Raw genomic sequence first — 27,522 nt, forward strand, 5'->3', positions numbered from 1 at the left:
GGGTCCCACTCTGTTGTCCAGGCTGGAGTGCAGTGGCACAAATGACAGCTCACTGCAGCCTCACCATCCTGGGCTCAAGCAGTCCTCCCACCTCAGCCTCCTGAGTAGCTGGGACTACATGCATGTCACTGTACCTGGCTAATTTGAGACAAATTTTTTGTAGAGACAGGATCTTGCTGTGTTTACCAGGCTGGTCTCAAACTTTGCTTCAACGGATCCTCCCACATCAGCCTCCCAAACAGCTGGGACTACAGGTGTGTGCCACCATGCCCGGCTAATATTAAAAATATATATTTCTTTGTAGAGATGGGGTCTCAATATATTACACAAGCTGGTCTCAATCTCCTGAGCTCAAGCAGTCCTCTTGCCTTGGTCTCCCAGAGTGTCGGGATTACAGCCGTGAGCCACTGTGCCTGGCTCTTCTCTTCTAAATTAAAAAAAAAAAGTATACAACACTTTTTTTGTTGTGTCTTGTTTTATTTCTGGAGACAGGGTCTCACTGTGTCACTCAGACTGGAATGCAGTAGCATCATCACAGTTCACTGCAGCCTTGACCTCCCAGGCTGAAACGGTCCTCATACCCCAACCTCCTGAGTAGCTGGGACCACAGGCCTGCATCACCACGCGTGGCTATTTTATGTTATATTTTATTTTATTTCATTAGTAGAGATGAGGGCTCACTATATTGCCCAGGCTGGTCTCAAACTCCTGTGCTCAAGAGATCCTCCTGCTGTGGCCTCCCAAAGTGCTGGGGTTATAGGTGTAAGCCACTGTGCCTGGCCAAAACATTTTTATTTAAGGTAAAACATACATACTGTGAAATAATATGTGTGCAATTTGATGACTTTTGACAAATATATACGCTTGTGTAACCAACTCTCCAATCTAGATATAAAACACCTTCATCACTCAGAAAGTTCTCTCATTTCTCCTATCAGTCAGTCTTCACTTCTGAAGAGGAATCGCCACTTTGATTTCTATCCACATCCATTAATTTGGATTCTCCTTGAACTTTTTTGTTTTAATAGACATGGAGTCTCACTATGTTGCCCAGGCTGGTCTCAAACTCCTGAGCTTAAGTGATCTTCCTGTGTTGGCCTCCCAAAGTGTTAGGATTACAGGTGTGAGCCACTACATCTGGCCTTGAACTTCTAATAAATGGAGTCATACAGAATGTATTCTTTTGTATCTGGCTTCTTCTTCTTTTTTTTTTTTTTTTTTTTTTTTTTTTTTTGAGACTGAGTTTTGTTCTGTTGCCCAGGCTGGGTTGGAGTGCAATGGCATGATCATAGCTCACTGAAGCCTCAAACTCCTGGGCTCAAGCAATCCACTGGCCTTGGCCTCTCAGAGTGGTGGGATGACAGGTGTAAACCACTATGCCTGGCCTATTTCTTACAGTTCTGGAAGCTGAAAAGTTCAAGGTCAAGGGGCTGCATCTGGTACAGGCCTTGCTGGTGGAACTCTCTGCAGAGTCCCAAGGTGGTATCACATGCCAAGGGAGCTGAGTGCTAATATGCTAGCTGAGGTCTCACTCTTCTTATAAAACCACTAATCCCACTCCCAAGATAAATTAATCTATTAACCCATGAACTCATTAATCCATGAATGGATTAATCCATTCAGAAGGTGGAGCCCTCATGACCTAATCACATCTTAAAAGCCCCAGCTCTCAATAGTGTCACATTGGGGATTAGATATCAGCATAAGTTTTGGAGGGGACAAATATTCAACCATATCAAGGGGTTACTGAACAGTAATGGCAATAAAGTTTTAAAAATTGAATCTATCTGGCTGAGTACGGTGGCTCACACCTGTAATCTCAGCACTTTGGGAGACTGAGGCGGGAAGATAATTTCAGCTCAGGAGTACAAGACCAGCCTCGGCAACATAACAAGACCCTGTCTCTATTTTTTTTTAATTAAAAAATAATTAATTGAACCTATCCTTTCTCTTGACCAGCTCTACTGGTGGCCTACTTAGGTTGCTAATGTGGGATGGTTGCAGGCATAACTGGAGAGGCCTTAAAAGTTTGTTGTGGACTGGTGGAGGCATGGTTACTTGGTAGAACTCTGTGGTGGGTTTCCAGTGACATGGAAAGTCTTCACACCACTGAGGAGTTTGCCTCAGGCTGGTCCTTGGGAAGCCACAAGAGATGCTGGTGGAACTGTCGCTGGATGACATGAGTCCAATTCCTGCCACAGCCTCTAGCCAGAGTCAGTAGTGTGTGCACCTGTCACTGGCCTTTTAGTGGGTTTCATATTTGTTCAGACTTGTCCAGTTGGCCAGAAGCTGACTTTATGTGAAATGGGAAATGCTGCTTTCACAAACGCTGGTTGCACCGATTCAACTTCTTGACAAGCTGGGCACTGTTCAAAAAGGAGAATGCAAAAGTTAGTCATCTTTGGAGGACATCAACCTCCAAAGAGAAAGTAATCAAAAGTACTGAGCCTATTGGACACCTATGGAAAGCTGACAAGAACCAACTCAATCCTGAAGGAGGAAATAAGTTTCCCAATAAAAGAACCTAATGAAGACAGATCCACTCAAGAAAAAAGGAGATGATGGTTGAAGTTACAGGGATGATGCTGTCACTGGCCTAGCAGTCATCACTTCATAGAGAGCTTATGCAAACAACAGCTTCCTCATTGTCCTTCAGAAGAATGGGCCGTTCCCTTCCCTCCACTCAAACTTCCTGTGCTGCCAAGCCACATTCATTCACCTTCTCTCCAATAGGAGGTTCATTTTTGCCCTGGATCCAAGGAGGCAGTTCCTGTGGAGATCTCCTTTTCCTTCTCATTCTCTTTTGGGAAGCACTTACGGAGCCCTCTCAATGGGCAGGAGTTTTTCCTGCACCATCACATCCTAAAAACAGAAATGAATTCTTTTGAAATTAATTCAAAGTTTGAGTGAACAAATTATTGGAACTAAGATCAAGAAACTAAAGACTGGATGGGCGCAGTGGCTCACACTTGTAATCCCAACACTTTGGGAGGCTGAGGCGGGCAGATCACTTGAGGTCAGGAGTTCGAGACCAGCCTGGCCAACATGGTGAAACCCTGTCTCTACCAAAAATTAGCTGGGTGTGGTGGCACACACCTGTAATCCCAGCTACTCGGGAGGCTGAGGGAGGAGAATACCTTGAACCCAGGAGGCAGAGGTTGCAGTGAGCCGAGATTGCGTCACTGCACTCCAGCCTGGGCGACATGGTGAGACTCCATCTCAAGAAAAAAAGAAAGTAAAGACTTTTTACATCGCTTCTCTTCAAAAGGAATTTTAATCTTTTTTTTTAATTATTTTTTAGCATTTTAAAAACTGCTACTTAATGGCCAGATGCGGCGGCTCATACCTGTAGTCTCAGCACTTTGGGAGGCTGAGGCAGGAGGATACCTTGAGCCCAGGAGTTTGAGACCAGCTTAGGCAACATAGTGAGACCTCATTCTACCAAAGAAATTTTTTTTTTTAATTAGCCAGGCATGGTGATGCATGCCTATGGTCCCAGCTACTTGAGAGGCTGAGGTGGGAGGAACACTTGATCCCAGGAGTTTGAGGTTGCAGTGAGCTATCATCATGCCACTGCACTCCAACCTGGGCAACAGAGTGAGATCCTGTCTCTAAAAAATAAAATAAAATAAGATAAAATATAAAAATTTAATAAAAGAACATACTTGTGTTCAAAATGACATTCGATAAAACTTTAGCTGTTTTATAAATATTTTAATATAAATCTCATAATTATTTGTTTTCTCTATACATAAGTATAGATATTGTTTTATGTAATTATATGTTTATCAATAGTATACAATTCCAAGTGGATTCTATAGAGTCTTCAGAAGCTCTCAGCAGGGTTGGGCCCTGGCTGCATAGAGTGGCAGTCAGTTCACTAATGCACACTGTATTGGCTCTTCTTGCTTGCATCACCCTCCTGCCTCCTTTATGCCTGCTATATTTCTCATCCTCCCTTGCCTGTAGATATGAATATGACCACATTCTGGTCAAAGACATGTAAAGAGAAATGTAATAAGAGATACCCGGAATGGCCCCTTAAGGGACTTTTTTTCAGCTGAGGGGACACACTCTTTGTCCTTCTCTTCTTCCTACTGCCTGAAATGTGGGCATGATAGCTGGAATGCCAGCAGTTATCTTGGACTCATGAAGAAACCTTGAGGAAGGAAGCCACACACTGGGGATAGCAGAACAGAAGTGTGACTACTTGGTCCCTGATGGCAGTGAAGTTGTCCTGGACTAACACCAGACATATTTTATATGGGAGGGAAATACAATTCTTATTAAATTACATGATATTTGGGTTTTAGAATAAATGCTGCTAAATCTAATTTTAGTGAATCCATCTTGCAGGGGTCTGTCCCGCAGACCTTGACCCAACGACGGATGAATAACGTACACTGACACAGGTATTTTGCCTGTCAGTCCGGCTGAGGGTCTGGGCCACTTACAGACACCAAGGAGGGTGCTGTAGAGTTGCAGCCTCGGCCCTGACTCCTGGCCCTGCCGGCATTTATTCAGCACACATTAAATGACAAAGGCTTTGAGTCAACACCATTAGAGGGTAATTAACCTAGTTGCCCCCACCTAGAGCCATCCTGATCTCAATCCTGATCAAAGGTTAGTTTTAGGACCACATGAGTAAACAAGTTATTTAGCTAAACTCCTCTACATTCCTATGCATCTACGCCCTAAGCCTTTAAGAGAATTCAGCTTCCTTCGGCCAAACACTTAAGTGAACTATGCAAACCCCCAGGCCTTCCAAGAGGGTTTGTGTTTATTTCCTATAGTTTTACAATTTCTCCCACCATCCTGACTGAACCCCCACACATCTTTTATCCTACCCCTTCAGCTCGGTCTTTCTTTGGTGGTGACAAAAGGCAGGTGGGATATCATAGTAGTTACTAAAATAGTTAGCAACCCAAGCCTATTCCTCAAACCACTTGAAGAATGGATTCCCCATTTTCTAGCTCAGTTTCCCCTGTGCAGTGATACCAATAAGTAGGACCAGAAATAGATCCACAACTGGGGGAACTTGAAGCTTCTAAAATTTGGGGGCAACTATATAAGAACACAACATTACAAATACAAAATTAGATACTCTCTCAGGTGGGGTTCCTTAAAAGCAGAGCCTGAGATGGAGATTCTTGTGCAAGTGATTTATGAGTGGGCTCTCAGAAAATTGTAAGGGAGAAAGGGATGCAAGATAGGGCAGGGGTAATTAGGCAAAGGGATGGTTTCGGAAGAGATCTAGCCTCAGGCTGATTTCTTGGGTAGCTCTGGAGTGTAAATTACCCTGCTGTGAGTCAAAAGCTTTTACATCGATCAGTCACTGGGGTGGTTCAAGCTCCCAGGCAAGGTGGCTCCCCTAGGCCTGGGCAGTCAGTCTGCTGCAGAAGGGTACAGGTGTGGGTCCTTGGTAGTGAACACCTGCAGGAGCTGGTAGATGGGTGCACTGGCTTGCTGAAGGGAATCGGGGAAGGAGACTAACAACTATTGCTACAGATAAGAAGAGAAAATGGTCATTTAAAATCTTAAGAAATTTGTAAAGATCACAAAATTCAGAAAAATATACCACTTCTCCTTTTTTTACTTCATAATTTTTGATCACCTCTTCATAAGGCAATGGTTTTGTAATGTAGTTTTCTATAGAAAGTCTAGCATAATTGATTTAAATTTGTTTTTATTATTGATCATTTAGAAAAGTTTCTTTTAGCTTCATTATTTAGCTATAATCCATTACAAGTAATGCCATGTATATTTTTAGGATTATCGTCAAATTTGGTAAAGCCTCTATCAAATTTTTTTTGTATATTGGCTGTAAGATTTAAAGGCATTTCAAGTTTTCTTGGACAGTGATAAATCTTAAGTTCTCTTTGAATTGGCCACACTCATTAACCAGTTTGTCTTCAATGTCTTATTTCAATGGCATATGAGTTTATATTATCTTTATTGATAAATTTAAATTTTCTTCCAGTGAGTGACATGTTATCAGCCTTCATCAAGATCAGACAGATTGTGTGTAGTACTGCTAAGTTTGTACCCTATACGCAGTAATTCTGATAAACTCAATTTTGTACCATTCCCATTGAAAGAGAGGAGAAAACTGTGAAACAGTTGTAATTGTGTATATGGCATCATTGAGTATATTCTTCACAAGCAGAACTTCCTTTTTGACCAGGAAGATGAAAACAGACTTGTCCCTCCTTAACAGTTTTACATATCTGGTGACTAGAAGCATTTCCAATAGACTGACTTTTATCTCCATTCATTTCAAGCCTTGTTTCCCCTTCACTATCCATATACTTATGGTGTTGCCCATTGTAGGACAAGGTCATATTGCAATATGATCTCTGGCCCTGAACATTTACCTGTGCGGATGCCAGGTAAGTTGCCATGTGGGCAATAAGAATACTGCTGGATGCCATTTCTGCACCTAGACAGCTAGATGAGTGTTGCAGACGTGACTGCAATACACATAATTATATCCACTAAACCCAAGCCAAATGTATGCCCAGTTCAACTTTCCCTTAGTTGGAACCCAGAATGCCTATGGCCACTTCAGTGTCAAACTGTGAGGTCTCATCATCTTTGTTAGATCGGTGTTCCCAAGTATCTTACTGACCAAGAGACGTCCTTACCAAGAACATGAGTTAAATCATGTTCACTTAACTCTGCTAATTCAGTGTAATTTATTTCTAATATGTTAATACGCAAAATATTTTCAAACATATACATCTTCATGATACTTAAATCTTTTAAAATTTCCAACCAGAGGCCGGGCGCAGTGGCTCACGCCTGTAATCCCAGCACTTTGGGAGGCTGAGGCGGGCGGATCACAAGGTCAGGAGATCGAGACCATCCTGGCTAACACGGTGAAACCCCGTCTCTACTAAAAATACAAAAAAATCAGCCGGGCGTGGTGGTGGGCGCCTGTAGTCCCAGCTACTCGGGAGGCTGAGGTGGGAGAATGGCATGAATCTGGGAGGCGGAGCTTGCAGTGAGCTAAGATCGCGCCACTGCACTCCAGCCTGAGTGACAGAGCTAGACTCCGTCTCAAAAAAAAAAATTTCTAACCAGATACACTATATATACCTTTATATTTGGAAAATTTCCACATTTCATGCCCTTATTAATCTTACAGATTCCCTCAGAATAAATTTCTGTTTTGATGAACTCTATACTTCATTGTAAAGTTGCCCCAAAATGTGGTAGTATAGCAAAGGGATGTCAGACAATTTCTCTGGTACGACTAGTGGAGGCTAAGGGTGGAAGCCATTACTACAGTGTTTTCATCTTACAGACATGTTGATATCTTGTATGAGATGTTTCCTCCAGATTATTGTGTCAGCTTTTAAGGTTTTTCAACTCCCACACAGGCTTGCTGTCCTGTTAGAATCATGGATTGATTAAGGTGATTCTCTATAAAGTGTTATAATTTCTCCTTTATACACAGTTCTCAATTCCACTGAAACTTTACCAACAATTGCTGCTTTGGATATTAAATCAACCAAAAACTAATAAACACTTACTGAGATTCTACATTAATTTAAAAAATATACAGTGAAGCTAATAGAAAGTCCAAAATGGGACACAAGAAGCACTTTATAGAAAGAATTTCAGGCTGGATGCAATGGCTCACACCTGGAATCTCAACACTTTGGGAGGCTGAGTGGGAGGATTCCTTGAGGCCAGAAGTTTGAGACCAGCCTGGGCAACATAGTGAGATCCCATCTCTAAAAAGAAAGAAAGAGTTTCAGAGTTTGAAACTAGAATCTGAGTTCATGTATAGGGGATTTGTTTATTTCACAGCCTTAGGTATTTGAAGATCAAATTATTTTGGTTTAGCAACTACAGTGGATGATCCTATCATGCAACATAGAAGTTCAGGTTTAATATGATCTTGCATGAAAATTATTTAGCCATTAATCAAAAGCAAAGAGGCTGGTAATAAGCTATTTTGGCCTTTCCATTTATTTATTTAGCTTAGCTTGTTTTCTTAAACTTACTTCACCTTCACTGTGTAATGCCTGGGCTAAAAATGCATATTACAATTTTTTATTTTATTATTTTATTGCAGACAGTTTTAAAAATAGAAATATTTAGACCAGACTACAGCAATATGAAAATTTTACAGCTGCATACTGTTTCCTTATTCCCCCTCTTTTTTTCTCTCTTTCCTTCAGACATATTCATTGTTTGTTTCCTTTGGTAGTTTCTCTATTACTCTAAAATTAATTTATGTGGTATAGGTCTCTTCTAATGGTAAATATAAACCATTGGACATTCCAGTTTAATAACTTTGATTTTTAGGCCTTTTATTCACATTTTCAATATAATTTTGGTTCACTTCCATTCAACAGCATACACTGTTCTACAATTAATTTTGTCTTGTACTAACCCTTGGTATTTAGTGCTATGGTCAAATCTGGGGTTTCAAGATTTCTTTTTTTTTTTTTTAATTTTTGCATTTGTTGTAGAGACAAGGTCTCACTATATTTCCTATATTTCCCAGGCTGGTCTTAAAACTCCTAAGCTCAAGCCATTCTCCTGCCTTGGCCTCCCTAAGTGTTGGGAGTACAGGCATGAGACCATGCACCCAGCATCAAACTTTCAAAGCAACATGATAGAACCATATTATATGTCTTCATGGTTGCAGACCTCTGCATGGTCAAGTGTTCCTGGAGAAAGAAATTGGACCACTTGCCAACAACAACACTCGGGTACAATTATAAGCTAATTTTAGACAAGAAAAGAAATGAGAGCATCAACTGCTGCCACTTGGTATGAATTAGACAATGAAGAAAGTATTTACTTTTCTGAAATGGTAATAAAAATGGCATTCTAGGTTTTTGGAAATTTTCCAGGTGAGGTTTCTAAAAAACAAAAGATTTTAAAAAACGAAAAAAAAAATTGGCCAGCTATCACATTTGCCTGAAAAAAATTGAATTAAATATCTCTATCAGTCCTGGCATGGTGGCTTACTTTGGGAGGCCAAAGTGCTAATCACAAAGGCGGGCAGATCACTTGAGGTCAGGAGGTCGAGACTATCCTGGCCAACATGGTGAAACCCCATCTCTACTAAAAATACAAAAATTAGATGGGTGTAGTGGTGCACTCCTGTAGTCCCAACTACTTGGGTGGCTGAGGTGGGAGAATTGCTTGAACTTGGGAGGCAAAGGTTGCAGTGAGCAGAGATGGCACCACTGCACTCCAGCCTTGGTGACAGTGTGAGACTCTGTCTTAGAAAAATAAATAAATAAATAAACAAATAAATAAATATCTCTATCATAGTTCATCTTGAACAAACTTTTCCCCTAAGCCAAATTAATTTATAACAAAGAAAGGTAGTTTTAGTGAAGTCAGGTAGCTTACAATAATAGCAATGATGAAATTTTTGTTAGTTGACATAGAAAACTTAATATTAGAGCAAATAGGACTGTAAAATGAAGCTTTTGAGGAACATTTTAATCTTTGCTTTTTTTTTAGAGACCTAGTCTCACTGTGTTGCCCAGGCTGGAGTGCAGTGGCACAATCATTGCTTACCAAACTCCTGGGCTCAGTTGATCCTCCCTAATAGATAGGACTACAGGCACATGCCACCATGACCAGCTAGTTTTTAAATTTTTTTTGTGTGAGAAGATGGGGTCTTGCTGTGTTTCTCAGGCTGGTCTCAAACTCCTGGCCTCAGGCAATCTTCCTGCCTAGGCCTCCCATAGCACCGTGATTACATTCCTGTGCCACCATACCCAGCTAATTTTTTGTATTCTTTTGGAGAGGTAAAGTCTCATGTTGGCCAGGCTGGTCTGTGCACGAACTCCTAGGCTCAAGCCATTCTCCTGCCTCAGCCTCCTAAAGTGCTGGGATTATAGGCGAGAGCCACCCTTATGACCTTATTTCACTTTAATTACCTCCCTAAAGTCCTGCTCCCAAATACAGTCACACTGGAGGTTAGCACTTGGACCTGTAGTTCCAGCTACTCTGGATGCTGAGGTGGAGGATTGCTTGAGCCTGGGAGATTGAATCAGCAATGACCTGTGATCACGCCCCTGCACTCTGGCCCGCGTGGCAGAGCAAGACCCTGTCTCAAATAAATAAATAAGGTGATAAGGGTGGGGCCCCAGCTGGAGTGGCTGTTGGGTATATATAGGCAGGAAAGGAGAGATGAGTCAGTTGCCAGAGGGAGAGAGGTTCTGGGGGAAAAGAGAAATGCTTAAAGCATTTTAAGGAAAGTTTACAGTGCAAGGTATGATGTAATGCTTTCTTTATCTCCCTTCAAAGCATTCAATAAAATATAACCATCAGTGGTCTGGATTTGAATTTAATGCCTCAAGTCTGGCCTAAAGATAAAAATGGAGCAAACGGAGAAGCTGCAAAAGGGCCCCAGCCATAAACAAATTACATTTGTTACACAAACGTGAGCATATGCACATGCAGAGACAGAGAGCTGGGACTACAGGCACATACCACCACACCCAGCTGATTTTTTTTGTTAACTTTTTTGTAGAGATGGGGGGGTGGTCTCACCATGTTGCTCAGGCTGATCTCAAACCCCTGAGCTCAAGCAATCCTCTTGCCTTGGCCTCCTAACATGCTGGGATTACAGGCATGAAGCACCAGTCCTGTCCTATTTACTAATTTTTAGAACACACATATTTTTATTAATGACTTATCACATTTTTAATAAAAATTTATTCCCACAGAACACCTTGAGGATTGTAACCCTGTGACCATCTATACCTGCCATCCATTCCTGCTAGCATCTTTGAAATATGTAGCAACAAATTGACCAGGAAGTTTGAGAAGTGAATCCTTAGTAAAGGTAATTATTAACCATGGTATGTACACAGTCGAGGTGAACACATTGCTTGAGGGATCAATCTCTTCAAGGACTTTAAAAGCACTGCACCGGGCCCAAGCTCTAGATGTTGTATAGAGGACCAGGGGCAGTCAAAGTTCTCCACCCATTTTCCTAAGCCATAACGGTAGGAGAGAAATGTTCTTGTTAACCACAAGCTGGGTTACGTCTTTGCAGTGTTGTTTTGTACACACTGTGGGGAATCAGGGCAAAGGAAAAGCCTATCCTCTCAGAACCTCCCTGTCCTCATTTCCAGGAATAGTGATGGAGAACAGAGCAGCTAATCTCACTGCCAAGAGAAGGGAAGCCAAAGGGAGCCTCAGGTCATCAGGTACCAGGACATTCAGGGCTTTAAAGTCACTGCCTTCACTTTGTGGGCCATTTGAAGAAATCCGCACAGAACTTGAAAACGAGTTGTAATAGAATCTTGCCCAGCAGAAGCAAGGGTCTGTCAGGTATTTTTGCTCATTCCCTTTTTGTTTTTCAGGGTTGTTTCCTCAGCTTACATTTTTCCCTTTCAACTCACTCACTCCCTGGATGGTTTAATTCCCCTCTGGGTATACCATTACTCATACTAGCTATGTAGAAATGCACTTTCCTTGGTGCTCTGCTGGTCTCCTCCTGGACAACTGCATCTACCTCCTCTCCACGTGTCTAATGCACATCCATCAATTTGCCCCTCACTCTCTTATTTCCCCTATTTTGTTTCATGGCTTTACCATTCACTCAGCTGTTAACCCGAGAAACTTCAGTTCTCTTTCCCCCTTTCTCTGGAGCACCTTCTTCACCTAAACAGACATTCAGTGAGGAATTAAGTCTGGCCATTTCTGCCCACGGAATGTTTCTGGAATCCTTGGACTTTGCAAGAGCCTTTTATTTATTTTTAATTTTTTAAATTATTTTTTAAAGACAGAGTCTCACTCTGTCACCCAGGCTGGAGTGCAGTGACACAATCTTGGCTCACTGCAACCTCCACCTCCCAGGTTCAAGTGATTCTCCTGCCTTAGCCTCCTGAGTAGCTGGGATTACAGGCGCCCGCCCCAACACCCAGCTAATTGTTGTGTTTTTAGTAGAGATGAGGTTTCACCATGTTGGGCAGGCTGGTCTCAAACTCCTGACCTCAAGTGATTCGCCCATCTCGGCCTCCCAAAGTGCTGGGATTACAAGCGTGAGCCACCACGCCTGGCCTGCAAAAGCTTTTAACTTATCTCAGACCTAAGTCTGTTTCCAATTCATCTTCCAAATAGTCATCAATTATTCTTGTAGAACAAATTTCTGATCTTGTCTCTCTCCTGCTTAATAACATCCAATAGTTTAGCCATTGTCCAAGTTTTATTTTACTTTGAGACAAAAGTCTCACTCTGTTGCCCAGACTGGAGTGCAGTGGTGCAATCATGCTTACTGTAGCTTTGACCTCCCGGGCTCAAGCGATCCTCAAACCTCAGCCTCCAGAGGAGCTGGGACCACAAATGTGTGCCACCATGCTTGGCTTATTTACTATTTATTTTATTTTATTTTATTTTTTGTAGAGTCAGGGTCTCCCTATATTGTCCTGGCTGGTTTTGAACCCCTGGGCTCAAGCTATCCTCCCACCTCAGCCTCTTAAAGTGCTGGGATTACAGGCATGAGCCACCAAAACCAGCTAAAGTTGTAATTCCTTAGCAATGTGTTGTACACTTCCTCTATGTCCCTTCATCCCCAATCAAATTCACCTTTCTGCTCACCTACTCTCTTAGTTGTCTGCTTTCTGCCATATGACAACCAGCTCTTCCAACACCTTAGCCCAGATTGATTTTACATGTGCTATCTAGTGCGTGTTACGTGTTTGTTTCAGCTAGAGAAGTTTCTGGAGTTAACCAAGTTTGCATGTGTGTCTGGGGATGCTTAGGAGAATGTTGTAAATGACCAGTATACCAAAGTGACACTGTGATTTGCTTCTTCTCCATGCTGGCAGCAGCAGTCCTCAAATCGTGCAGTGGCCAGCATTTTGTTCAGGAGAAAATTGCTGTAGTTCCAAGTATTGTTAAACTGAAACGATGTAGGCTGGATTCACATGCACTTTTGGAAATATCATATATTTTGAAGGTATTATAAGTTTGATTTTTTTGGTGAAATATCTGCACTCTCTCCTTGGATTAAATCATTTTTGCACTTTTTATTCCTTTCCCCCACAATTATTATTATTATTATTATTTTTTGAGACGGAGTCTCGCTCTGTCACCCAGGCTGGAGTGCAGTGACGCGATCTCGGCTCACTGCAAGCTCCACCTCCCGGGTTCACGCCATTCTCCTGCCTCAGCCTCCCGAATAGCTGGGACTACAGGTGCGTGCCACCACGCCCGGCTAATTTTTTGTATTTTTTAGTAGAGACGGGGTTTCACCATGTTAGCCAGGATGGTCTCCATCTCCTGACCTCGTGAACCACCCACCTCGGCCTCCCAGAGTGCTGGGATTACAGGTGTGCGCCACCGCGCCCGGCCCCCCACAATTATTTTTGTTTGTTTGCTTTTCATTCCTGAAATCCTGCACTGAAGCTCTCTGGTACTTCTATTTACTTTTTCTCTACCTTTAATTTTCTTCATTTTATTTTTCATTCCATTCCTTTTTCTGTTTTCAAAAACTTTTTTTTCTCATTTAGCTCATGCTTTGCCATGAGCTCATGCTTTGCCATGTTGGGGATTTTATTTTATTATTTCTATCTTAATTCAAAGAATATAAACCATACAAAAGCCTGCTGCCTTTTCAAAAGGAGTTCTGAATCTGAAGCCCAAAATAATACCCAGTATAGTTGTACAATTTGGCTGTATTTTAGTTGCTTTTCCAGGGTAAAGGAAATTTTTGATCTACTCTTTCCACCACAGCACTCATTTGTCATGAATGTCCTGTTCTCAAAGTTATTGAGTCAGTTGTGATGACAGCTGGTTTTCTAAGCAGCCAGGAAAGAAGAGGAATCTTTATATATTTTTTCCCCTTTTTTCTCATCAGGAGCCAAGAAAGAACATTTATATACTTTAAAACCAGTCCTCAAGAGAGAACTATCTGCACTCCTCTCACCCCCCCAAAAAGGTTATACATCTTAATACTAAATTCTGGATATTGTATTGTTTCCTCAGATCCAGCACCAGCTAAAGGAAGGGAGCTTGTATACATTTTTTTTTGTTTCTAATAAAAACATACAGGTTCCTTACCAGTAGCACATAGATAGGGTAGACAGTTGTATGAATATTATGGGTACAAATGAAAGTAATAGTAAGAATTTATGAGCTGACCAGATTCTAGAAAGCCACATGTCCAACTCCATCAGCTTCCAGAAGCAATTCTTCCTGCCCCCAGCTCCACATAAAGGACTGAGAAGTCTAGGAAGAAGCATAACAATGTCTATTGGTAGTCAGTGTCGTTTAATGGTTAATTGCTGCCATTATTCAGTTAGTTTATTAGATTCAAGAAGAATAATCAGCCAACAAATATTTATTAACACAGAGGAAATGCTGACCATAAGATGTTAGGTGCTGGGGAATGCAGTGGGAAAACAAAAGAGTTTAAAGCCTGGAGGGGAAGATAAACGGTCAGCAAGTTATCACAGTTTATCAAATAAATGAATTCAAGGGTGCAAAATACCATGAGCAAGAAATACAAGGTGTCAACAGTAGAAACTGAATACATACGTGCCTGTGGGCATGTATACCCACCCACCCACCCACATATATACACAAGGAACAGAGCTTGAAATGAATCTGTCTTTCCTCTACCTCAAGTGGCAGCTTTGTTAATTCCTGCAAAGCAATATAAATAGCAGCTTCTATATGAAATTATATGCATCCCTTTTCTGTTGCTGTTTATTGATGCCTGAGGAGGGCAAACATGGGTTCTACTGATGTCAGCAGGCAGAGTTGCTGCAGTAAAATTTATTCAAAATGAGTGTTGTGGGTTCTGATTTGAATAGATAAACTGGAGATGCATTTATGAATTTGCATGTCTGTTTACACAAGCAATAGACCATGGTGGCTGAAAGTCAGCCACTGGAGGCTGACTCTGGCTTCTGTTCTACAGTGGGTCCACTACTTACTAGCTCTATAATCTTGGACATACATCTGTAAAATGAAGATAAATAACCACATTAACCACCTCATAGTTTGCTGTGAGGATTAAATGAGTTAACAAATGCTAAGCCCTTGGAACAGTGCCTAGCACAGAGTAATTGCTCTACAAATGTCACCTATTGCTTTTGCTCTCCAATCCCCCCTTCTCCCCTTTTTTTAGCCAACTAACTGAGCAGGATAATATTGGATCTCGTGGATACAGGGTAATTTTCTTCAGCAGAATACCAGAGAAAGATTTATTATCGCCAAGGGGGCCCAGGAATTTAATAACACATTTGTTGTTTTTAGAGCTGAGTTTTTGTTGGAGTGTTAACTGAGAAAGAAAGTTTTCAGACGTGAATGGAATGTGACATTTACTCTGGTATTATTAGCATATAGAGTAGTAAAAACAGTAGTTGATAGTCTTCGTGCATGTTAGCTTCCCTTAGACTTATTTTCAAAATATTCATTTGGTTTATCACATTAATATATTGTGTCCCATTTAACATAGTTGAGACAAATTAAGGAAAGATGATAGGGTATGAAGAGCTGATAGAAGCTTTTAATATGTGGAAAACCTCAGAATATAAACATCTACAGTGTTATTAATAGGCATACCGTCAACAACAGTTTTTCAGACTTTGTGGTTCACTCTGGAGAAAAACAAGAGCATGACATCTTGAATTTCTTCACTGGGTAATTAAAAAACTCAGTTATAATGTAACACCAGCTGCACATATCATGTTAGTGGAGTTCAGCATCAATTAAAATTATAAACGAAACCTGTCATATGTTCCCTTTCAAAGCTGTTCAAGACAACTGTCCAAATCAACAAAACAGTATGAATATTTACTACCATAAATCTTTTAACTCTTTGGTTTTAACTCATTTCAAATTTTTAGTTCTACTCTATTCAAATAAATTATTATATAATAGCTAATACATACCAAGAGCTTACTGCATAATCTAGCTGCTGTTCCAGACATTAGTAACCAATGAGAAAACTGTAGAGAGTAGCTGCAGCTTTTAGTAATACAATGTCAAGGAGAAGAAAGTGGGGGCAGTACCGAAACTTACGTACAGTACCGTCGTTAGTACAGCATTGACACTGACGGCCTCCTTCAGGAAATACAAACCTTGTGAGGTTTTAATTACTAATGCTACAGAGTGGCGTTTTTCCGAGGACTGTGTTCCACTTGGTCTGTCTCTGATGGCTATTAACTAATAACCGTTCTCATTCTGCTGCTGTGGGAAATAAGCAACAACGGAAAAGTAATCGATAATCTTAGAGCATAACTCAAAGGCCAGAGCAGCCAAGGAGGTGGAAGAGTCCCGAGCCCTGCCTTCTCCACAGCACCCCCAAAACCCCACGGCGGGGCAGAGCGCCTGGTAGGGTACGAGCGGCCGCCAGCGTTTCCCGCGCGGCGCCGGGGGCGGCCCCGGGACTGGGGGTGGTGCCCTGGGAGCTGTGTGGCCGCGTGCGCGCTCCGCCGGGGTCCTGGAGGCCTCTGGGCGCGTGCGCGGGCGGTCGCTACCTGCGGCCGAGCCAGGGAGCGAGAGGGCGCAGAGGGCAGCGGGCTTGGGCAGCATGAGGCCCGGAGGGGAGCGGCCCGTGGAAGGGGGCGCGTGCAATGGCCGCTCCGAGCTGGAGCTACTGAAGCTGCGCTCGGCGGAGTGCATCGACGAGGCGGCCGAGCGGCTGGGGGCCCTGAGCCGCGCGATCTGGAGCCAGCCCGAGCTGGCCTACGAGGAGCACCATGCCCACCGCGTGCTGACGCACTTCTTCGAGCGGGAGCCGCCCGCGGCCTCCTGGGCAGTGCAGCCGCACTACCAGCTGCCCACGGCCTTCCGCGCCGAGTGGGAGCCGCCGGAGGCCCGGGCACCGAGCGCCACGCCACGCCCGCTGCACCTGGGCTTCCTCTGCGAGTACGACGCGCTGCCCGGCATCGGCCACGCCTGCGGCCACAACCTCATCGCTGAGGTCGGGGCGGCGGCCGCGCTGGGCGTGAGGGGGGCCTTAGAGGGCCTCCCCAGGCCGCCTCCGCCCGTGAAGGTGAGGTGGGGCCCGGGTGCGGGACCCTATCCGACTGCCCGGGTCGGGGGCGACCCGGGAAGGGCGGGACTCTCGTGCGTCCCGCGCGCCTCGGTGCCCTCCCGCCCGGGGCAGGTGTGTGTGGGACCGCGCTAAACCTGCGGTCCTCGCCTCGGCGCAGGAGCAGAGCTGAACCCCCAGTCAAAGTCAGTTCGCGTTGCCGACCTGGCGACATCTTGCAGATTATTGTTTCCTCCTCTCTAGTTATAAACAGCTCTGCTGAGTTGTTCCCTTAGGAAAGAACTTACACCCAAGCCTGGTGTTTGTTACGGGTTATTTTTGGTAACTGAGAGAGGCAACAGCAATTTGCTGACAAGGTTGTGCCATCAATCTCAGGAGGAAATAACTTCTTGTAGGTAATCCTACGGCCCCTTTTTATTCGTCTCCAAATAAATCTTTTGTTTGTGGCAGTCCTAGAAAATGTGATTCAAGTCATTGGTATTTGGATAGGAATTTTCAGTCGCTAGAACCACCAGACCCCTAGAAGTATACAAATAAAGGGGAAGTGAATGAGCATTATACATAGATGAGTTCATCCTTAAGTCTTAATTTTTTTGTTTTATGATTTTAAGAAATACCTCGACTCTTTAAACAGGGAAATGTCGTTTATGTTTGTCGTAGGGCAAGTTTAATCCTGTTTTACTCTGCTTTTCCAGATGGTATATTCTACACTATGAGCTAAGATTCAATCGTCATTCAGTTAAGGGGAAAACAAATGTTTTATTTTCATACTCTTTAGTTCATTTCCCCCAGTGTCAGTAACCTTCCTCTTTTATCCTAACACTACATCTTTTGTGGCTTTTTCACTTTAGCTGCCTTCTTTTTTCTGTCTCTGGAGGCTCGTTTTTGCATTTGTTAGGTTTTTGTTTGGGTTGGGGGAAGCATGCTTTGCCATGTCACAAACACTGGAGAGATTTCGCTTCAACCACGTTTTTAAAGGTTCTGAGTAGTCAGCGAGAGACATATCGTATTTAATGAGTTAAGGGTCAAGAATGAAGAGCGGTGGGCAGATCAGTTGAGGTCTGGAGTTCGAGACCCGCCTGGCCAACATGGTGAAACCTCTGTCTCTACTAAAATATATTAAAAAAAAAAAAATTAGCTGGGCGTGGTGGCTCACGCCTGTAATCCCAGCTACTCGGGAGGCTGAGGCAGGAGAATCGCTTGAACCCAGGAGGCAGAGGTTGCAGTGAGCCGACATCGCGCCACTGCACTCCATCCTGGGCAACAGAGCGAGGCCTCCTCTTAAAAAAAAAAAGAGCGGCGGCTTCATGTCAGAGTTTGAGCACTGTAGAACCGCCAAAAAAAAGCTAAACTTTGAGAAATGTACACTCTTTTTTTTTTTTTTTTTTTTTTGAGACAGTCTCATTCTGTCGCCCAGGCCGAGTGCAGTGGTCCTATCTCGGCTCACTACAACCTCCGCCTCCCGGGTTCAGGCGATCCTCGTGCTTCAGCCTCCTGAGCTGGGATTACAGGTGTGTGCCACCACGCCCAGCTAATTTTTGCATTTTTTAGTAGAGACAGGATTTCGCCATGTTGGCCTGGCTGGTATCGAACTCCGGATCTCGGGTGATTCGCCCACCTCGGCCTCCCACAGTGCTAGGATTACAGGCATGAGTCACCGCTCCCGGCCCACTCTTCTAACTTCAAATGGTTGTTCTCAATTTTAGCAAGGTTAAGTTATTAATTATCTGAAAATGGAATTTAAGTTGATTTCCTTTGCAAGCCAAGACTTTTCCAGCTTGTTTCATTGTGTTCTTATACATGATCTTGAAAATATATTAGTTGTTTATTTTGATTTTTAAAATTGTTTGAAGCAGTTAAGCTTAAATATCAAAGTAAAATGTTTATTCTGTAAAGTTCTCTTTTGTTTAATTAGGTGTTTGGTGACCAATAAATCTGCCTGGTTGAACTGGTGGAATCGAATTAGTAAGTTTGTGTAATAGTTGGCTGTTTCTAACTGTGGCATTAAGACTTGTTTAATGTTCTTCATAAAGGATTAATGAGTTCAGACTTTTAAAATAGGTAGCCCAGTAAGGAATCAGAGTTTAGGCCAGAAGATCAGGACATCTAATCCTAATTCTGCCTGAAGACTTGCTCTGTGACCTGGGGCAAGACACTTCACTCAATTCCTCAAAAACACCCCCTGTAAAATGATGATAGAGATCACCCACCTACCTCACAGGGTTGTTGTGAGGATAAGTAGTAAGTTAACAGAAAGTTTCTGACTCGTAAAGTACTTAAGAATAATTATATACATACATACACTGAAAGGCTTAGTCGAGAGGAACCTTTTTGAAACAAATCCTAACAAATTTTGAGGGACTAAACTTGTAGTATTTTTTTTTATCTTTGCCATTAGTTGACTTGTAAAATTGGGAAAAGCTTTTTATAGTGTCTTTAGTACATACTTTGCACCAAGTTGGTATAACAATGTACATTTTGTGATTAATTTAGCACCATTTGTTGATGCCCATTGCGTAAGCGTCATAGAACAAAACCTGTCTTAATAGGTTAAGGACTTTAATGTAGATTGTGAATACATATGCAGGTGAACCTGTTTGATATATTCCTATGAGGATTTTGTTGTTTTTCCCTGACATGAGTATTTCCTTCTAGGTAGTTGTCCTGGGAACCCCTGCAGAAGAAGATGGTGGTGGCAAAATTGATTTAATTGAAGCAGGGGCTTTTACAAATCTTGATGTTGTTTTTATGGCCCACCCATCACAAGAGAATGCTGCTTATCTACCAGATATGGCTGAACATGAGTGAGTAATCAAGTTGAAGATAAACTTCTTAGGGGAACACAGGCTATAGAATACTTTTATGTCTAAACCAGAGACGAAAACTCCACATTTGTATATTTAAGAAGTAAATTGAAAGACAATAACAAGATGTCTTGATCTATGGAGTGACATTTGGCAAGCCTCTTCTAATTGAGATTCATTATGGTGTTCATAATTGGAGTATTAAAATAGTAGCACTTAGAAACCATAGGAATAACAAACATGTTGACAATTAAGTTCTCTTTTGAACTGTCAATAATCTGGTGTCTGGAAAACATCTGTCCTTTCATATGAAATTGTCTTTGCAACTGAATAGATTTGCGAGAGATCGTTCTATTAGCTATGGGAAGAAACCACACTTATCCATTTTATTTACTTTAATTTGAGTTCTTTGCAAAGAGGATAAATTATGTCCTGAGAGAGAATATGGAACATGAGTAGCTATGGTTTTTGTGGAACTTCTCATTCTGTGCTTTTCCGATTTGTCTGGTGCTGAAACCTTTTATTTGTCTTTCTTTATGTTGAAGAACTCACTTTTTAGTACCTAGGAGCACACATCATTGAAGTGGTTTGGATTTTTTATACCAGAAATTTCAACCATAGTAGTAACTATAGTAGTTAATGGTCCAGGCACAAGGAGCCAGTGCTCAGCTGCTTCAGCAAAACCATGTGTTTTCCTCAGAAGTAGCTCGGTACTGAGGGAATGATAGCAGAACCATCACAGCAGTGCTTCTAGATTGTACCCGGGTATCCCACCTCTTAGCACCTTACCAGGCCCTGTTTTCAAAGGGTGATCATTTTAACTATTAGGGTATCTTCCTTCTTATCACTGGAAATTGGTACTGTGGCAGTAGGAGGAATCTTTGAACTTTGGTTTCAAGGGTGGTGGTAAACTAGTCCATCTCTAGAAAACACTGGGGATTAGAAATCTCTGCCCTTGCCTTTGACTAGAAGGGGCCTGCATATGCAGGCAGGCTCTGCAGCTCATTACCCTTCTGGGACTTAAGGTTAGGCTTCGTGGTCTTGGTTCTGAAGTCAGCGCACTTGACCCCAGACCTTCTCCTAGTATCTGCCTTCTTAGCTTTCTCACTGATCATCTCTTTTTTTTTTTTTTTTTTTTTTTTTTGAGGCTGAGTCTCACTCAATTGCTCAGACTGGAGTGCAGTGGCACGATCTTGGCTCACTGCAACCTCCGCATCCCAGGTTCAAGTGATTCTCCTTCCTCAGCCTCCTGAGTAGCTGGGATTACAGGCGTGCGCCACCACGCCCAGCTAATTTTCATATTTTTAGTAGAGACAGGGTTTCACCGTATTGGTCAGGCTGGTCTTGAACTCCTAACCTCAAGTGATTCACCCACCTCGGCCTCCCAAAGTGCTGGGGTTACAGGCATGAGCCATCACACCTGGCCTTCATTGGTCATCTTTTAAGATAGAAAAGAGAGGTCAGGTGCAGTGGCTCACACCTGTAATCCCAGCACTTTGGGAGGCCAAGGCAGGTGGATCACCTGAGGTTAGGAGTTCGAGACCAGCCTGGCCAACTTGGCAAAACCCCATCTCTACTAAAAATACAAAAATTAGCCAGGCATGGTGGGCACCTGTAATCCCAGCTACTTGGGAGGCTGAGCCAGGAGAATTGCATGAACCTGGGAGGCGGAGGTTGCAGTGAGCCAAGATCGTGCCATTGCACTCCAGCCTGGCCACCAGACAAGTGAAACTCCATCTCAAAAAAAAAGAAAAAAAAAAAGAGAACAAGATCAAGAATTCATTTTTTTTTAAATTACTAATCCACTTTTCTTAAAAATTCTTTTTTTTTTTTTTCCGAGAGAGTCTCGTTTTGTCACCCAGGCTAGAGTACAGTGGCGCAATCTCAGCTCACTGCAGCTTCCGCCTCTGGGTTCAAGGGATTCTCCTGCCTCAGCCTCCCATGGACCTGGAATTACAGGCAAGCACCACCACACCCAGCTAATTTTTGTATTTTTAGTAGAGACAGGGTCACCATGTTGGCCAGGCTGGTCTTGAACTCCTGACCTCAAGTGATCCACCCGCCTTGGCCTCCCAAAGGGCTGGAATTACAGGCATGAGCCGCCAGGCCCAACCACAAATTTCTAATGAATAAGATAAAGCAATCCTGCTGACCACCTTTCCCAAATCCAGTCCTTTTTCTAGAGGTATGTATCCTTTTCAGAGTGTTTTTGGTGTACTTATGGGACATAAATAGAATCCTGTATAAATTGTGAAAGAAGGTTTTCCTCAAGTATTCCACTCAATATATTGTTCTGGCTTTTTAAAATTAAATAGTATGTCTTGAAAATAATTCCATATAATCCTTCTCGTTTTTATAATATTTATCACCAGTTGTGATGAAATTCCGGTTTTGCCAGGCCAGGTGGCTCACACCTGTAATCACAGCACTTAGGGACGTCAAGGCAGGAGAGTCTCTTGAGCCCAGGAGTTCATGACCAGCCTGGGCAACATGGTGAGAACCTGTCTCTACAAAAAAAAATAAAAAATTAACTGGGCATGGAGCACTCCTGTGGTCTCAGCTATTCATCTGTGGGAAGCTGAGGCAGAGGAGGATTGCTTGAACTTGGGAGGTGGTGACTGCAGTGAGCTGTGATCACGCCACTGCACTCCAGCCAGGGTGACAGAGGGAGATGAGTACCAAAAAAAAAAAAATTCATTTCAAGGTCATGGTGATAAGATATATATCAAGGAAATAACAATACAGTATCCTGAAATCTAATACGTGTTTGATGTTTTTACTTGATTTTTGTCCTGCTAATAGAATGTCTGGAATCAGTTGAGAAGAAATATCATAAGCATTCTAAGGACTCCTGAATCTAACCCATTAAAATAAGTCCAGATTGGTTTTCTAATCACCTAAATGTGGGTATTATTAATCAGGCTTAAAAAGTGTTATCAAAGCACGTCAATCACAGAGCTTTATAAGTAACTATTCAACACGCAATCCTTTCTCTAATCTTTTTTTTTTTAATTGTATTAGAGCAGTTAGACTGGTGTGAGAACTTAACAGTTTATTAAAATGTAAAATATTAGTGATGTAGGCATTTTGGAACATAATAAAATATTGGATATTGGTCAGGAACAACTGCTTTAATACTAGGGTATCTTGTGATAACATTGAATATAATCTGATTTTCAGAGGTTGTCTTAACCCACTTCAAATAGTAACTCCTTTCTGGCTTTCCTGACCTTCCACCTCTTAAGACAGAATTTCTGATTTTTTACAGACTTTTGATAATAGAATCATCACAATGCTGTGTAAAAACATACAGGATCCATTTTTTTTTTTTGTAATTTCAGCACCTGATACCATATTGCATGTTTGCATTAGATTGTGTATACATTTAATCTTTTCTCTTTTTCTCTCTTTTTTGGGAATGCTTTCTTTGTGTCAAGCACTATGTTACCTAATAATAAACTATAACTAACATAAATAAATTGCAGTGTTATTACTACAAATAATTTGCAAATCAAAAGTCCAGCAATGTGAATTAATTTTGAATAGTAGTTGGGTAATTCTGACTACCTGGATTTTCTTACTTTAGCAATAATAACAAAAGTAATTTCAAATGATTTTTTATTTCCTAGTGTGACTGTGAAATACTATGGAAAAGCATCTCATTCTGCTTCTTATCCCTGGGAAGGATTAAATGCATTAGATGCTGCTGTGCTGGCCTATAACAATCTGTCTGTGTTCAGACAGCAAATGAAACCAACCTGGAGAGTTCATGGTATGAATGTCAAATACCTTCTATAATAGATGGTGCTTGCTATAGTTCAGTGCAGTATAATTATTTAATATTCAATTTTTAAAAATTTGGAAATATTTTTGTACTTCATATGAATATTCTGATTTTTAAGCATATTTTCAGAAATTCATGTGACAGGATACTAAGATGTTTGTCTATATAGGGTTAGAAAGACAGTTTTGATTATTGTACATAAATGGAATGTCATCTTTGAGTATCAAAGATAAAGGTTTTATGTAAGGGGCTGTGTTCTTTCGGTGGGTGTTTGAAAATTGGATCTTGATTTTCCAGTTGTCCTCATTATTTCTTAATGATAACCAAATTTTGTCAATTAAAAAAAGGTATAATAACTGCTAGTTTTATTTAAGTGCTGTTAGTCCTGAGTAATATCTTTTTGTGTGATTTTTTGTTTTTGAGACAGTCTTGCTCTATTGCCCAGGCTGGAGTGCAGTGGTGCAATCTCGGCTCACTGCAACTTCTGCTTCCTGGGTTCAAGTGATGCTCCTGCTTCAGCCTCCCAAATAGCTGGGATTACAGGCAGGCAGACACCACCAAACCCAGCTAATATTTGTATTTTTTGCAGAGACGGGGTCTTGCTATGTTGGCCAGGCTGGTCTCAAACTCCTGGCCTTAAGTGATCTGCCCACCTCAGCCTCCCAAAGTGCTGGGATTACAGGTGTGAGCCACCATGCCTGGTCCTGAATAGTGTCTTTTAAAATTATATATATATATCACCATAATATAAATACAGTCAAAGTACTGTCTTGAAGGCACACATTTGTTTAATTTATTTCCTTATGATTTAGGAAATTGTTATATTTTAATATCTATTCTTTACCTGATTTTGCTATAGCCTGAGGTCAATTTGTAATTGTACTTTTACCAGTTTTCCTGCTTTAGTTTCTTTAAAAGGAACAAACAGGAATGTGTAGAAATATTTTTTTAAAGTAGGTCATAGGACATTGGATTTTTTGTATCTATTTTAGTTATTACTTCGAATGAATAAATCTTAATTCTTTATAATTCCAAATAAATACATTTGTTTTGACAGTTGATAATACTTAGTGATCTTTGACCTGCATTGGTTTTTTTCTTGGCATGAAAATTATTTTTCCTATAGCTAAATGCCATTTAAAATGCTCATGGGATTCCTGAGGTATGAGGGTAATTATAGAACCTCATACCATTGTTGAGGTATGGTAAAATCTTTTCCAGAAAGCTTAAGATGTTACTAATTTTTTTTGTGGTTATATAATTTCTAAGTTTCATTATAGTCTGGATCATAATTTCTTAACATTATGTAAATTCTTCTGAATGAAGTGCATATGGATAATTATTTTTTCTTATCAGCCAAAAAATATCACCCTATGTAAAGAAATTTCAGTTGTACAACATAACAAAATCTTTGATTGGTGTATTGGTGGAGCTAGTGAGTTTAAATTATTTTTCTTTATGAACATATTGGCTGAAAAACTTAATGGGTGTATTTAAGCTTAAAGAAATGGTCACCAAGCTTAATTCTAGTAATTTGGTTCTTTTTATAGGTATAATAAAAAATGGTGGTGTAAAACCCAATATCATTCCCTCTTATTCTGAATTAATCTATTACTTCCGTGCACCCTCAATGAAAGAACTTCAAGTTTTGACCAAAAAGGCAGAAGATTGCTTCAGAGCTGCAGCTTTGGCTTCAGGGTGCACAGTAAGAACTTTTAAAAGTTAATCTAAGTTACAATCAGAGGTATATATGTGGGCTAGCACTGTTAGATTGAAATCTAACTTGACTCTCTTATTTGGTGACATGTTGAATATGCAAAATGAATTGGCTGAATAGTTAATGTGAAAGTCTTTAATTTTTACACGTTTCATTCCTCAGTGCTTGCAATAGGGAAGATGACAGGTCATCTTACTTATATAGTAATTAGAATAATTCTGATACTTCTATGCTAGAATCCCTGCCTTTTTACAAGTTATATTCTTCCTTGTCGGCAGTTATACTTTTAGAATTGCTATATGTAGTTTCTATAAAGGAAAGTTTATGGCAAAATCAGCAAAAGCTTTTTTTTTTTTTTTTTTTTTTTTTTTGGTGGGGGGACAGGGTGTTGCTCTATTGCCCAGGCTGGAGTTGCAGCGGCACGATCTTGGCTCACTACAACCTCCGCCTTCCAGGCTGAAGCAATCCTCTCACCTCTGCCTCCCACCTCAGCCAGCTGAGTAGCTGGGACTACAGGCACGCACCACCACACGTGGCTAATTTTTTGTATGTTTTTCTGGAGACAGGGTCTCACCATGTTGCCCAGGCTGGTCTCAAACTCCTGAGCTCAAGTGATCCACCCACCTCGGCCTTCTAAAGTGCTGGGATTATAGGCATGAACCACCTCGCCCAGCCAGCGAAAGCCATTTCTGAAGTTAGGGTGTGTATAGTAGTGATATAAATACTATGGCTTGCTGGAATGGAAGATAAAATAGACACAGAAGTTAGTTAAGAGGTTTTATTGATTTGTTTCTGTTTGTTTGTTTGTTTTTGAGACAAAGTCTTGCTCTATTGCCCAGGCTGGAGCGCAGTGGTGCAATTTTGGCTCAACGCAACCTCCTCTGCCTCCTGGGTTCAAGCGATTCTTATGCCTCAGCCTTCCAAGTAGCTGGGACTACAGGCGCTTGCCACCACACCTGGCTAATTTTTTTTTTTCTTTTTTTTTTTTGAGGCGGAGTCTTGCCCTGTCACCCAGGCTGGAGTGCAATGGCGCAATCTCAGCTCACTGCAACCTCTGCCTCCCAGGTTCAAACAATTCTCCTGCCTCAGCCTCCTGAGTAGCTGGGATTACAGGCGCCTGCCTCCACACCCAGCTATTTTTTTGTATCTTTAGTAGAGACGAGGTTTCATCATGTTGGCCAGGCTGGTCTCGAACTCCTGACCTTGTGATCCACCCACCTCAGCCTCCCAAAGTGCTGGAATTACAGGTGTGAGCCACCACACTGACTGGTTTTGTTGATTTGAACTATAAAGTTAGTATTTAAAATCATGTACTGTGTAAAGTGGAGTGAGTTTTAGAATTATACAAGATAAGAATCTTGCCCTAGAGGGAGCCTGTAGTCTAGTTGGAGAGACAAGATCTTGACCCATAACTCTCAGCCTAGCTAATTCTGTAACCTTTAGAAATGTTTAGTGTCTTTGGCTCTCCATTTTCTTGCTTGAAAAATGGAGATAATAACAATTTATCTTAGGATTCTTGTGAGAATTAAATGAGATAATGTTTCTGAAGGGTTTAGAGCCCAGCCTTCATTTATATTGCCTTATTTTTTTCTGTTCTTATTAGTCTAGAGATGTATGATTGATTCACGTAGTAGCAGTATCTCACAGTAGCAGTAATTCTCAGAAAGCATATGTTACGTGTCCTGAGAGTAGTGTGGAATGTGTCGTGAGGATCAGAGGTGGGAAAGAGTGGTCTGGGGCTGTTAACCTTGGAGGAAGGTTTTGTGGAAGACTGTAGACCTGAACTGAGCTTTGAAGGTTGATCATACTTTCAGATATGCATGGGAAAGACAGAGACTGAAAGTTCTTAGGGAATATAGTCAGCAAAGATAAGAATATAGAAGCTCGTGTTGTGTTGTAGTTAATCGATAAACATATGGACAGATGTAGGAGCAAAGATGTATTCTCATATGCCACTAGAGAAGATGGTTATAGTGAATGAAAACTGTGAAATGTCCATAGCTGAGGGCAGTAAAAACTAAATATTTATTCCCTTATTCATTTATAATTATAAATATTTATTTGTGAAATACTTATGGATGTGAACTATTATCATTAGGCAATATCTCAAGGTATACAGTATTCCCTTATGGTAAGGTTTGTTGTTATTGGATTTGAATCTATATTTAATTTAATTTATTTATTTTTAAAGTTTTTTGTAGAGATAGGCTCTCCCTGTGTTGCC

At 41.5% G+C, this 27,522-nt stretch overlaps 1 protein-coding gene and 1 long non-coding RNA gene across 14 annotated transcripts in view, besides 3 other annotated features; one reads left to right on the top strand and one right to left on the bottom strand.

The window, feature by feature from the left end:
* PM20D2 (peptidase M20 domain containing 2) overlaps positions 1-27,522 on the top strand; it is a 71,626-nt gene that overhangs the window by 35,677 nt on the left and 8,427 nt on the right. For 2 of the 8 annotated variants that reach the window (NM_001010853.3, XM_017010289.2), the window contains exons 1-4: positions 16,439-16,993; positions 19,649-19,797; positions 23,427-23,569; positions 25,132-25,286. In NM_001010853.3, the coding sequence (NP_001010853.1) occupies positions 16,529-16,993; positions 19,649-19,797; positions 23,427-23,569; positions 25,132-25,286 (912 nt within the window). In that variant the 5' untranslated portion in view covers positions 16,439-16,528. Of the gene's footprint in view, positions 1-10,706; positions 10,826-16,438; positions 16,994-18,908; positions 19,798-22,169; positions 22,291-23,426; positions 23,574-25,131; positions 25,287-27,522 lie in introns of those variants that run through there. The other 6 variants (XM_047418221.1, XM_005248662.5, XR_007059208.1 and 3 more) reach the window with 6 other exon arrangements.
* On the bottom strand, positions 634-17,250 carry LOC101929004 (uncharacterized). Of its 6 annotated transcripts, XR_942769.4 has the most exons (5): positions 16,077-16,369; positions 15,559-15,593; positions 14,131-14,217; positions 2,720-2,862; positions 1,365-2,366 (listed from the first exon to the last, which is right to left on the bottom strand). It is a non-coding gene; the product is annotated as an uncharacterized LOC101929004 (long non-coding RNA). The 6 variants fall into 6 exon arrangements; XR_942766.4 differs by lacking the exon at positions 15,559-15,593 and having other exon boundaries at positions 634-2,366; positions 16,077-17,250; XR_942768.4 differs by lacking the exon at positions 15,559-15,593 and having other exon boundaries at positions 634-2,366; positions 16,018-16,386.
* Positions 4,265-4,903: an enhancer, noted in NCBI's record as "OCT4-NANOG hESC enhancer chr6:89843600-89844238 (GRCh37/hg19 assembly coordinates)". NCBI's record gives its function as "activates a minimal SCP1, AML or CMV promoter by ChIP-STARR-seq in primed H9 embryonic stem cells {active_cell/tissue: H9 hESC(primed)}" and the evidence as "EXISTENCE:reporter gene assay evidence [ECO:0000049][PMID:30033119]".
* Positions 4,904-5,541: an enhancer, noted in NCBI's record as "NANOG hESC enhancer chr6:89844239-89844876 (GRCh37/hg19 assembly coordinates)". NCBI's record gives its function as "activates a minimal SCP1, AML or CMV promoter by ChIP-STARR-seq in naive H9 embryonic stem cells {active_cell/tissue: H9 hESC(naive)}" and the evidence as "EXISTENCE:reporter gene assay evidence [ECO:0000049][PMID:30033119]".
* Positions 16,256-17,185: a silencer, noted in NCBI's record as "silent region_17386". NCBI's record gives its function as "represses an Ori minimal core promoter by ATAC-STARR-seq in GM12878 lymphoblastoid cells {active_cell/tissue: GM12878}" and the evidence as "EXISTENCE:reporter gene assay evidence [ECO:0000049][PMID:35858748]".

The sequence above is a fragment of the Homo sapiens genome, chromosome 6 (genome assembly GCF_000001405.40).
Source record: "Homo sapiens chromosome 6, GRCh38.p14 Primary Assembly".
Classification (NCBI taxonomy): domain Eukaryota; kingdom Metazoa; phylum Chordata; class Mammalia; order Primates; family Hominidae; genus Homo; species Homo sapiens.